A 13,584-nucleotide genomic window follows, 5' to 3' on the forward strand; every position below is an offset into this window, starting at 1 on the left:
ATTATTTAGTGGGCCTGGAAATAAAGAATCACTTTTCCACATTTGGAAGCCACCACTGCCATCAAGAACTGTAAGTCTTTTCAACTTCAGGCCTGTGCACAAAACTGACAATCGGGGTACATTCCTTGAGGACAGCCCCTACACGAGTGTGGCACTTGGAATCTATACGTAACCTTCCCCAAGCTCTCAAGGATATAAATATGCCCTTACTACTGTGAACACATGCACTAGATATGAACTGACCTTTCCACATTTCCAGGATGGTGCCCTTGCTCAGCAAACACCATGACCTCCCTAGAAAAGAGGCTGTGCCATGTCTTCAGATAGCCTGATGACATTCAAATAGATAGAGGCCCTGCATTTTTTGCTGAGGCCATGCAGTTGTATGTTTGAGTATATGCAGAGTATATGGTATCTGTCGGACCCTTTTCAATAGACCACTGAAAAAAGCCTTAAATAGGAACACACAGAAAGAACTTTGCAAGGATGGACTATGCAGCTATTAAGGACCCTCTGGATTTTAAATACCTCAGTTCAATGCAAAGGGAGCACAGCCCTGGGTTGCTTGATAGAGCAGTCTGCAGACAGGAGGATAGAAGTACCGAGGCTGTGGACATGGGTGGTAGATATCCAGGTGCAAAAGGGGTTAAGGAATGATGATCAGAAGTATATATGGAGCCCATGTGGGTATGAGATGTAGGCTATGCTGATAGTCCTAAGAGAAACTCTTACGAAACCTCTTTCCCACTACAGCTGTTCGCATTCCTCCCAATATCGTGACAGGTGTAGCCACCTGGCAGACAGACACATTGGAAGACTGTAACCTTGAAGTGCTGACCCCACAGGGCACTGTTATTTAGAGAATGGATGTGCCCACTGGCCCCATGGGCTCAGTCTCTGACCTAATGGGATGACAGGTGGCCCTAGTGGGGCTCCCAGTTCCCACAGGGTATGTCCTAGGTGATCTAAAAGTAGTGGATCTAAAAGTAGTGCATCCACCCACGGTACCCTCTGATTATGCTGGGAGAAGAGTGTGGGTCAGGGTAGACTTGGGAGAAGTGGTGGTAGAAGGACAGGGACAGACAGACCTGATCACCATTCATTGCAACCCCCATCTGAGATAGGAACATCTGAGACCAGGGGGAGGGAAGAATGATTGGCAGGTGGTAATCCCCTGCCAGTCTGTTCTTTCTACACAAATGAGGCAGCAGAGGCCTAAAGGCGTAACACTTTTCTTAGAAGTTCCCAAGCTGTGGCCACAAGAAACCTCATTCTGTCACTGACTAAAAAGTGAACCCCTAGTCTTGCCAGCAGTCAAGTATGCCAGCATTCTCAAGGCCACAGTATATACTAATAGGACCCAAGCTATAGCTTTCTGTGTGAAGATCTGGAACCAGCCATATGGAATGGAACCAGAAGAGCCTGTTTTAACTTGACTGATTTAAGATGGCAAATGTCACAACCACCACTAACAAAGTCATAGTGGGCTACGTGCTGCACCATACTCCTTTGATTTACTTGAACAAGAAGCGTCCCACTGATGACAACAGAAACAAGAGCTGAACTATTGTTAGCCCCCTGAACAACATTCCAGGAGGGAAATTGAGTTAATACCATTATGCAGTTAACGAGGGCTGGATGGTGAACACTTATGCCTACATACCTATGAGTGGGGCGCTGAATAAGAAAATGAAGAAAGGTGTGTTATGCATCTGTTTCTTTGTGGGCAGTCCAGGGTGACCCAAATATGGAATGGCAATGCCATGCCTGTATTGCTGAAAGATTGTGGGATCCTGCATGCTGGGCATCATAGGGGTGCCAGTGCCCTTGGATAGCGACCCTAACAATAAGATCCACCATTGGGCTAACAGCCTAGTGTATATACCGGGCACCCTAGAAACCTGCCAAAAGAAGTAACTGACTCTGGATTTATGTCCTTTAAAAGAGCTTTAACACTGTATCTGGGAGCCAGTGCTCAAGAAAAAAATGAAGAGAAATCTGTCTCTGACCATGACAAGTATTGCATCCTCTATGGCCACTGCTTTCGTAGCTCAGCAGACATCTCTCAACTCACTTGGAAAAGTTATTTTAGAAAACAAAACTGTTCTAGACTTCCTTTTAGCCCAATTGTGGGGCGTATGTGCCATTGTCAACAGCTGTTATACCTGGATAATTAACTCAGGCATTGTAGAGACACAGGTGGAAAAGACGCAGAAAGGCAGGTTTACTGGCTGCATAGTGTGGGACCACCTGAATGATTGTTCTTCACTTCTTATCAACTTCCTAGCTGGATTGCCATGGCCTAGGCTAGGTGACTGCTGCGGTCAAGTATGACCATCTTACTTGTCATAGTAGTCCTCATGGATCTGGTAAATTGCATTCTGGCTATGACTCAATGATATGGCAACGAGATGGTATTCATCAAGCTGCTGTGTCAATCTGATGAGACAAAATTTCACCTTCATATCTCGGAAGGCCAGTGGACATAGGAAATGAACTAGCTTTGCCAAGGAGGATATCTAGGTCAGGGGAATAGACTGTTCTCCAGGTGGTCTTGAACCAACTCACTTCTGCTCCCCTTTCTCACTTGCAGTTCTCAAGAATAATTACAGAATGTGCTGAGAATGCAATAACTGATACAGAGATAGATTGCCTGAAACAGCCTGGATCTTATTCCTGTGCCTTCTAACAAAGTAATGTCTTGAGTTAGGGAGGAACTGCCCAGAACAGCCTGGGTTTTGCTTCTTCTCCCCCTGGAATCAGGATGTCTTTCAGAACTTTTCCCAGTGAGTCATGTTTCCACTGAGGGTTATAAACCTTAGTGGTATGGGTTGACTTTCAAAGTCCCTCAGCTGTAATGCAAGCAAAACATGTGCAATCAGGACCCCATTTGCCCTAGGCAGCTTTCTATAACCTTGGAAGAGTGACTAAATAAATCCAGGACTTATTTTGTCCCTTGCTGCCATCTGTAAGTAACAAACCTGCTTCATATAACCTGCTGTGTGTGTGTGTTCTGTTCCCAGACTCAGGCAATTGGTAGAACTGTAGCCAAAGATGCAATGGGAAGAAATGCTCATGCTTCTGTTCCTGACGGTTGGCATAGGTGATGGATCTTTGCTATCCTCCATGTGGTGGGAGTCTTCCCTTGCACGTGGTCATTGGAGAACCTGCTCTGCAGGATGCCATCTAAATAATGTAGCATTACTCTTGTCCCACAAGTCAAAAGCTCAAATATTTTCCACTGTTCTCCCTTTTTGCAGAAACTACACTAACTTTTCTTGCCATTTAAAAATGCAGCGAACACAGTAGACCCAGGAAATAAGGGATCTAAACTTAGTTAAAATTCTGTATCCAAACCTAAAACCTTGACTCTGTGGAGGACTCCCTATGATGGTTATTCAGGATTTATTTACTTTTCATTTATACACCATGAATAACTGATTTATAACTGATTTTTCATATGGCAGAAAATACTCAAAATAAATTTAAATAGGGTATTTTATAAAATCGGAGACAATGGCTGCAAGGATGAAAACAGGCAAATGAAGTTTTTCAATACAACACAAACAAGTCGGAATGACAGCCTAAATTATCAAAAAGGTAGAATTTTGGTATAGCATATTTTGTTTAAGAAAACACAGAGGCATGCATTAAATGACTAAGAAACATTTCCAAAACATGGGTAATTTTTAGATTGTTATCAGTGGTAAATAAGAAGAGGTCTTTACAAAAACAATAGATGAGAATGTCAATTAATCCATGAGGCTGATTTTTAAATGAGAAGTGATTCCCTTAGGAAATTTCTTCTAGAAAATGTAGGTTGATGTGTTACGTAGCCTACTGTATACTTTGGCTATAAAGAGAATTGTTTGAATGCATTTGAATCAGGCTAGTCATGAGAAATAATAATTCTAACATACGTCTCCTTGTTAAATAAGTAATTCACTCAATAGTCAATTATAAATTATGTGGATTTCTGTGCACTTTTTGGAAACACTTGAACTAAGAAATAAGTAATTTTCTTTACTGAATTATGTTTATAAAAAATATGTATATTTGGAAATTTGGGATTACACATATAAAGCAATGAAATTCAAAAACGTAGGATTCAAACTGCAATTAAAATACTTAATATATTTTCTAGTTTAAATAAATGCAGTCATAATAAAGAAAACATGTGTTATTCTCTTCTTCCTGCTTCATATCTCTATCTGCCATTCTAACCTATCCTTTCTAGTTTGATTCCAGAATAAGCTGCCACAACACAGTGGTGAGTTAAACAAGGAAAAATGATTAATATATAAATATAGAAAGTAAGTGTACCCTATACCACTGTGTCAGGGCTTTAACTTTTAGTCATCGTGTGCATTAATTTAAAAACCTCTGAATTTCAAAACTTAATTAGAAACCAAAAAGGCAGTATCAATGAGTCAACACTTCAGTTCATTATATTTGCTCTCTCACAAAATATTGTTTTGCTCTGACAAATGCCTGACACAGGAAATGAAGTACTGCCCCTTCCTTCTCCAAAACAATTACAAAACCTTTAGCCAATATGTTTTAATGGATGGCTTAATGTACCAAGAATAAATAAAAGTGAGAACAAGGTATGAGATAATATCTAAGAATATGTTATTGCTCCTCTCATTTATTGTAGAAATGTGACTGCAGAAGGGATGGGGAAAAGAGCAAAGATCTAGCCAATAATCCCTAGGAACTTCTGTATCATCCAATTAATATTGTTGGAGGAAAAAAAAAACAGCACTTCTATAGAATTAACGCTTTAAAGATAAGATTATGAGAACGAATGTTTCCACAATCAGCTGATAACTCAAAAGAGATAGTAGTTACACCAGGACTCAACTATTCTGGCGTATATTTAAATGTGTTCATCAGAGGAGAATATACCTACTGGCATCTTCTTTTTGAGGTTTAGGGAAGAAGCAAATGTTCCATATGGGATTATTATTCTTTGTACATATTGAAGAAGAGGCTTCATTGCTTTAAGAATTTCACAAACCTAAATAACAACTTAAGAAAAAATACATTCTAAAGCAAAAAGAGTTTTTGATCTTGTGTATCATTGTCAGACTTTTCAGTATCAGGAAGACATAATTATTCTCACCATGATGCCATATGAGTGCAGAGTCCAAAGACTTTTTTGCAGAAAGCAAGTTTATCATAGTATTTCCTCAAAATAATTTACCCCTGAGATGCAAAAAGTTTGCTTGTAAGTTTACTCTTGGTTGGGTTGGATTCTAAATCAAAATTGTATGTGGAAAACAGTAAAAAATGATATAACTTCATAAAATGTGACACTCAAATGAGATTTTCGGGAAGAAAGTGTTTTGAACAAAATTAAGCACTATATAAAAACCTTCCATTTCTGATGATGATCACTAATAATGATAATAAAAGTCTTTGTTTCAAGATTTTCTATTGCAAAGTAATGATAGTTTTCAGAAAATTAAAAATTACAAGTTTATCTGACAACATCAAGTTATTTAAAATGAACAGCTTATTCCACTACAGTCATCAGCCAATTATATAATGATCAGGTTCTCAAGAAGGAAATGTGAATTAAAAGAAAATTTTAATGTGAAATAAAGATAATAGAAGATACAATAAGCAAGACAAAATAACTTTCAAACATATTTTTTAACAATTCAGTAATATAAGCCACTACAATTTTAGGGAAATGTATATATAAAAATCACTGTAATGTTCTATTGAAACTCTGAGAGTATTTATAACACAATATTCTAATTCACTTAAATTATTGAGCCTCTTAAGAGTGTTTGCCTTAAACTATCGCAACAACAAAAAACCAAACACGGCATGTTCTCACTCATAAATGGGAATTGAACAATGAGAACACATGGACACAGGAAGGGGAATATCACACACCAGGGCCTGTTGTGGGGTGGGGGGAGGGGGGAGGGATAGCATTAGGAGATATACCTAATGTTAAATGATGAGTTAATGGGTGCAGCACACCAACATGGCACATGTATACATATGTAACAAACCTGCACGTTGTGCACATGTACCCTAAAACTTAAAGTATAATAAAAAAGAGAGTGTTTGCCTTAATACATTGTGTCTCAGAATTATTACTTTGTCATCTTGCAAACATGTTATATATTATTAAGTACATACAAATTTAAGACAGTAATTAGTTTTCTTTAATTTTAATTTTTGTGGGGGTGTATAGTAGGTATATAGATTTATGGGGTACGTGAGATGTTTTGATACAGGCATACAATGCGTAATAACCACATCATGGAAAAAGGGGTATCCATCCCCTCAAGCATTTATTCTTTGTGTTACAAACAATGCAATTATACTGTTTTAGTTATTTTAAAAGGTATAATTAAATTATTTTTGATGTTGTGCTATCAAATGCTAGGTCTTATTCCCTCTAACCGCTATTTTTTTTTAACCCACTAACCATCCCCTCTTCTCCCTGTCTCAACAACCTCTACCCTTCCCAGCCTCTGGTAATCATCCTTCTACTCTCTATCTCCATGAGTTCAGTTCCATCCCTTTGTTGCAAATCACAAAATCTCATTCCTTTTTATGACTGATTAGTACTCCATTGCATACAACTACAACGTTTTCTTTATCCGTTTATCTGTGGATGGACATTTAGGTTGCTTCCAAATTTTGGCTATTATGAACAGTGCTGCAACAAACATGAGAGTGCAGTATTGTTTCTCTCTGATATACTATCGTTTCATCATTTCTCTCCAATAAAAAGATTTCACTTCTTTTGAGCATATAACTAGCAGTAGGATTGCTAGGTTATATGGTAGCTCTATTTTCGTTTTTTTTGAGAAACCTCCCAACTGTTTTCCATAGTGATTGTACTGATTTAAGTTCCCACCAAACAGTGTCTGAGAGTTCCCCTTTCTCCACATTCTCACCAGCATTTGCAATTGCCTGTCTTTTAGACATAAGCCACTTGAGCTGTAGTGAGAAGACATTTCATTGTAATTTTGATTTGCATTTCTGGTGATCAGCAACGTTGAGCACCTTTTCATATGCCTGTCTGCCAGTATGTCTTCTTTTGAAAAGTGTCTATTTAAGTATTTTGCCCATTTTAATTCAGATTATTAGATTTTTTTTCCTAGGGAGTTGTTTGAGCTCCTTGTATGTTCTGGTATTAATCCTTTGTCAGATGGGTGGTTTGCAAATATTTTCTCCCATTCTGTGGGTTATTGCTTCACTTTGTTGACTGTTTCCTTGGCTGTGCAGAAGCTTTTTAACTTGATGTGATCCCATTTGTCTATTTTTGCGTTAGTTGCCTATGCTTGTGGGGTATCACTCAAGAAATTTTTGCCCAGACCAATGTCCTGGAGAGTTTCTTGCAGTATTTTAATAGTTTGAGGCCTTAGACTTAAGCCTTTATTCCATTTTGACTAGAATTTTGTATATGGTGAGAGACAGGGGTCTAGTTTCATTATTCTTCATATGGATATCCAGTTTTACCAGAACCATTTGTTAAAGAGACTGTCTTTTCCCCAATCCATGTCCTTGGCACCCTCATCGAAAATGAGTTCACTGTAGGTGTGAGGATTTGTTTCTGGGTTCTCTATTCTATTACATTGGCCTCTGTGTCTGTTTTTATGCCAGTACCATGTTGTTTTGGTTACTACAACTGTGTAGAATAATTTGAAGTCAGGTAATGTGATTCCTCCAGTCTTCTTCTTTTGCTTAGGATATCTTTGCTTATTCTGAGTCTTTTGTGGTTCCATATAAATTTTAGGATTTTTTTCTATTTTGGTGAAGAATGCCATTGGTGTTTTGATAGGGATTACATTGAATCTATATATTACTTAGGGTAGTATGGACATTTTAACAATACTGATTCTTCCAATAAATGAACATGGAATATCTTTCCATTTTTTAGTGTCCTCTTCAATTTCTTTCATCAGTGTTTTATAGTTTTCATTATAGAAATCTTTCACTTATTTAAGTTAATTCCTAGGTATTTGATTTTATTTGTGGCTATTGTAAATGGGGTAGCTTTTTTACTTATTTTCAGATTGTTCACTGTTAGGATATAGAAATGCTTCTGATTTCTGTATGTTGATTGTGTACTGCAACTTTAGCAAATTTATTTATTAGTTCTAATAGCTTTTTGTGAAGTCTTCAGGTTTTTTCAAATATAAGATTATATCATCTGCCTCAAAGATAATTTTATTTATTTTCCAATTTGAATGTGCTTTACATCTTTCTCTTGTCTGATTGCTCTAGCTAGGACTTCCAGTGTTCTGTTGGATAACAGTGGTGAAAATGGGCATCCTTGTCAAGGTCCAGATCTTAGAGGAAAGGCTTTCAGTTTTTCCCATTCAGTATAATACCAGGTGTGAGTCTGTTGCACATGACTTTTATTATGTTGAGGAATGTTCCTTGTATATCTGGTTTTTTAAGGGTTGTTATTATGAAGGGATGTTGAATTTTTATCAAATGCTTTTTTAGGATTAATTGAAATAATCATAAATTTGTCCTTCATTCTGTTGATATAATATATCACATTCATTGATTTGCAAATGTTAAATCATACTTGCATCCCAGGGATAAATCCCACTTGGTCACAATGAAAGATCTTTTTACCGTTTTGTTGAATTTGGCTTGGTAGCATGTTGTTGAGGATTTTTGCACTAATATTCATCTGAGATATTTGCCTGCAGTTTTCTTTTCTTGATGTGTCTTTGATTTTGTTATCAGGGTAATAGTGGCCTAGTAAAATGAGCTTGGAAATATCTGCTGCTCTGTTTTTCAGAATAATGTGAGTGGGATTGGTGTCAGTCTTTCTTTTACTGTTCAGTAGAATTCAGCAGTGAAACAATAAGGTCTCTGGCTTTTCTTTACTGGGAGGCTTTTTATTAAGGCATCAATCTCATAATTTTTTTTGGTCTGTTGAGTTTTGGATTTCTTCCTTGTTCAATCTTGGTAGGTTGTGTCTAGGAATTTGCCCATTTTTTCTAGATTTTCCAATATATTGACATAGAGTTTCTCATAGTAGCCACTATTTGTATTTCTGTGTTATCAGTTGTAATGTGTCCTTTTTCATTCCTTATTTTATTTGTTTGGAACTTCTCTCTATTTTTTTAGTTGGTTTGACTAAGTTTGTCAGTTTTATTTAACTTTACAAAAATAGCTTTTTGTTTTATTGATCCTCTGTATTCCTATTTATTGTTTACTTCATTCCAATTTCATTTATTTCTTCTTGGATCTTTATTACTTCTTTTATTCTACTATTTTTGCATTTGGTTTGCCTTTGCTTTTATACTTCTTTAAAATGCATCATTAGGTTGTCTATTTGAAGTTTTGCCTCTTTTTGATGTACTTGGAGGCACTTATAGCTATAAAATTCCCTCTTAGTACTGCTTTTGCTGTATCCCATAGGTTTTGGTAGGCTGTGTTTCCACTGTCATTTGTTTCCGAATATTTTGTTTCCTTCTTAATTTCGTCATTGACTCACTGGTCATTCAGGAGCATATTGTTTGCATTCCATGTGTTTGTATAGTTCCAAAATTCCACTAGTTATTGATTTCTAGTTTTATTTCATCCTGGTCAAAGAAGATGCTTTCATATTATTTAATTTTTGGAAAGTTTTAAGACTTGTTTTGTGATCTAACATATGGTCTAACCTTAAGAATGATACACATGCTGAGGAAAAGAATATGTATTCTGCAGCCATTGGATGCAATGTTCTGTAAATGTTAAATATCTGGGTGCTCCAATGTTGTGTGCCTCCCCAGTCCACTGGCCTAGGACCAAGTTCAGCACTAGGACTCGCCTAGGAGTTGCAGTCTTTGTGGCCTAGACTGTCTTTGAAGTTTACTTGGTGCCCCAGTGCATGTTAGCCCATAGTGATGAGGCTTGTGGGAAATCAAGTTGGTCTGCTGCAAGTGGCAATTTCCTTCTGGAAGGAGCTGGTTTAAATGCTCCCTCAGTATCAGCTGAGTTTGGTCCAGTTTTGTTTTCTGCTATAACAGGGCAACACTGAGTTCAATGCCTCACAATAGCTTCACTCTTCCCCTCCCCAGTGCACAGAAATGCTCTCCATGCTGTGTTGTCATTGCCAGTGCTTTGGGGAGGGGTGCTGTCAGTGATTCAAGACTGTTTTCCCACCTCATCAGTGCCTGTCTGGGTGCTATGAAGTTAAAACCAGATACCATGAGTCTCACCTGATTTTTGGTTCTCATGAAGGTGTTTTATTTATTTATTTATATATTAATTTATTTTTTGTAGATAGTTATTAAATTGATGTCCTTGCCAGGTGGACAACTGGTGAAGCCTTCTATTCTACTGTCTTTCTCTGTCCCTCTCACCAGTAATCGGTTTTTAGTGTGTTTGATAACATACTGCTTTACAAAGTATGCAGCCTCTCAGATGGCCCCCAATGCTCCCAGGCTTCTGGTATTTGAACCTTTGTGTAATGTCCCTACTTTGAGTGTGGGCTGGATGTATGGACTTGCTTTGAAAGAGCAGAATATGCCAGAAGTGATGGGACATCACTTCTGAGAATAGGTTACATAAAGACTGTGGCTTCTGTCTTAGGTGTCCTCCATCACTCTCTTGCTTGCTCTGAAAGAAGCCAACAGCCATGTTGTGAGTTGGTCTCCAGAGAGACCCACTGTGGTGAATCTGAGGATTTGGAGACTAATTCAGGAAATGACAGAACCATGATATGGCAGTATTGCAAAACTTTTATTAGGTGGTGCCTTGACAGAGTTGCATGTGAAGTAAAGTCCTTCACAGTGGGAGGCTTTCCAGAAATAGTGACCTGGGACCACCACCCAGAAAAGGCAAAGGGCAAGGGAGAGGAGAATCAAAGAACGGGCTTACATGTTTAGTGTTGTCACTCAGTGGCAAAGTGGGGAGACTGTGGGTCAGAGAGCTCCAAGGTTTGTCTAAAGTATGGCTAGCTGATTTTGAGTGCAATTTCATGGGGTACATAAAGGAAGGAGGCTCTAAATGGCTAAAAACACACTTATTTGGGTTATTTCATTTAATGGATCTGTAAAAATTTGAGTTTGTTGTCAGTAGCTTTGAGCTACTTGTCCTAGCCTTCTTGTTTAAAAAGTAAACAATATTAGGCCACTACATTAACATAAGGGCAATCTTTGGTGCGTTTATGTAACACCCACATGACATGAAACTGATTTTTTTTCAAATAAGAGTCAAAGAAAATTTAAGGCCTGTCAACAACCACCTGAGTGAACTTGGAGGCAGATCATTCCCCATGCAAGCATTGAGATGACTTTAGTTTCAGTTGGTAGTTTGATTGCAGCCTCATGAAAGGTCTTGACCCGGAGGAATTGAGATATATCATGCTCAGAAGTTAGATCCACAGACACTGTAAGATATTCAATGACTGTTGTTTTAAGCCACTAAGTTTAGAGTAATTTGTTTCCCAGTAGCTATTACCAGAGAGGATAACCTTTGGCTATCTTTATCTAGGGCACTTTGAGATGGTTATTGCTGTTTCAAATTTATATATATATATCATTTTTCCAAGTTGAAGTGAATCATAATTCATTTAGTAAAATGAATGCTCACTATACTATTCACATGCAATAGTATAATTTTGTATTAAAGACTAAATATCTTTTATTATGTATTTATTAAGATAATGATAACACTTAGAGAAGTTCAAAAATACATAAAGCATCTAAGAAGAAAAAAATATTTCTTGTCTAATGGAGTTCAAAATCACTATCATGGTTGGTGACTGGCTTTCTTTTAGGCAGAGATGTAGGAACAGGCTTCTTCTATTTACCACTTTCCAGAAATGTTTTCCAAAGTTACCATCCTCATTTGTATCAAGGTAGCATAAGGAGGAAAATTGAAGCCAAAATAAAGAGTGGAAAAGAAGTATCTACTCCTTAACTGCTTTGTTCTAAAAATGTTTCCTTCCATCAAATGCAGTTAGTAAGTTTTAGTCATATTATTCCATCTAAATAAAAATGTAGGGCTAGAAAATGCAGTTTTGGGCCAGGCATTTAATTTCCTGACAATACATTATTGTTAAGAGAGTATGCATATTTGGTTCCCCTTTATGGATACATATATTTCCAGATACTGAATGGGATATATTTGCCCCCTCCCCAAGAGTAACAACACAAAGTATAACATGATTTAGACTGTAAAAATTGTTGGTCTTTGTGCTGGTATGCCTGATGACAAAAGGACAATATTATATTGAATATAGAAAGATGTAACAATATGTTTCATCAATATTCATTTTTCATCCATCTTTTAATATTCAGATGTTACTTTGTTCCTTGCTGTGAACATGCATAGCTCAAGATTTTCTTTATGTGTATGATGGTTAATGTTGAGTGTCAACTTGATTGGATTGAAGAATACAAAGTATTTTTCCTGGGTGTGTCTGTGAGGGTGCTGCCAAAGGAGATTAATATTTGAGTCAGTTGACTGGAAAAGGTAGACTCACCCTCAGTCTGGATGGACACCATCTAATCAGCTGCCAGCACGGCTAGAATAAAGCAGGCAGAAGAAAGTGGAATGAGGCTTGACGTGCTGAGTCTTCTGGCTTTTATCTTTCTCCCGTTCTGGATGCTTCCTGCCCTTGAACATCAGACTCCAACTTCTTCAGCTTTTGGAATCTTGGACTTACACCAGTGATTTGCCAGGGACTCTAAGGCCTTTGGCCACAGACTGAAGGCTCCACTGTCTGCTTCTGTACTTTTGAGGTTTTGAGACTCAGACTGGATTCCTTGCTCCTCAGCTTGCAGACAGCCTCTTGTGAGACTTCACCTTGTAATCATGTGAGTCATTTCTCCTAGTAAACTCCCCTTCATATACACATATATCCTGTTAGTTCTGTCCCTTTAGAGAACCTTGACTAATACTGTGCTTAAGTCTTCCTTTAAATCAAGACAAGAAAATGCCAATAAAGTTAGATGCATGCTTTTTAAAGCCAAGAAGTTTGAAAGAGGAAGCAGTAAATACCTAGTTAGCAAAGGTATGACTACACAGGGTTTTTTCTTTTTTGCATTTAATGCATGTATGGTACATTTGGGATATCAAAATAATAGGTTTTAAGTTTGATATATGCCACCTACATACCAGATGTGGAATTCCAATGTCTCCATATGAGATTACAGTTCCAAGGAAATTCATTTTGACAATAAAATGTAACACTCCATTGTCAGCTCTTTACCACAATCTTGCCAACCTATGCCAAGAAAATTAATTATAAATAAATCAAGCAGACGCCACAGCACCTTATATCAGACTAAGTCTACAACCAATATAAATATGAAGAATGAAAAAAATATTTAGAACCACTTGAAGAAATTTGAGGGAAACATATACAGGCAAGGCTTGAGGACATTACTTAACAGAAAGAACAAGCAGGTTAAGCTTCATATTTATGATTGCTTTGTCTTTGAGGAAATTTTCCAAATCACAGCAATGAATAAGTAGGTTCCAAGCTGAAGGCAGCACTTTTTACAGGACTGAAAGGCAGAGTTTAAAGTGCAAGTCTGTCTCAACATGACTAGGACTTGAAGATGACAAAATCCCAAAGAGTGGGGGAAACATATT

At 37.5% G+C, this 13,584-nt stretch overlaps 1 annotated feature.

The window, feature by feature from the left end:
- Positions 12,088-13,287: an enhancer, noted in NCBI's record as "CDK7 strongly-dependent group 2 enhancer chr1:195950386-195951585 (GRCh37/hg19 assembly coordinates)". NCBI's record gives its function as "activates an origin of replication core promoter dependent on BRD2, BRD4, P300/CBP, MED14 and CDK7 cofactors, with strong dependence on CDK7, by STARR-seq in HCT116 cells {active_cell/tissue: HCT116}" and the evidence as "EXISTENCE:reporter gene assay evidence [ECO:0000049][PMID:35650434]".

This window comes from Homo sapiens, chromosome 1 (assembly GCF_000001405.40).
Source record: "Homo sapiens chromosome 1, GRCh38.p14 Primary Assembly".
Taxonomy (NCBI): Eukaryota; Metazoa; Chordata; class Mammalia; order Primates; family Hominidae; genus Homo; species Homo sapiens.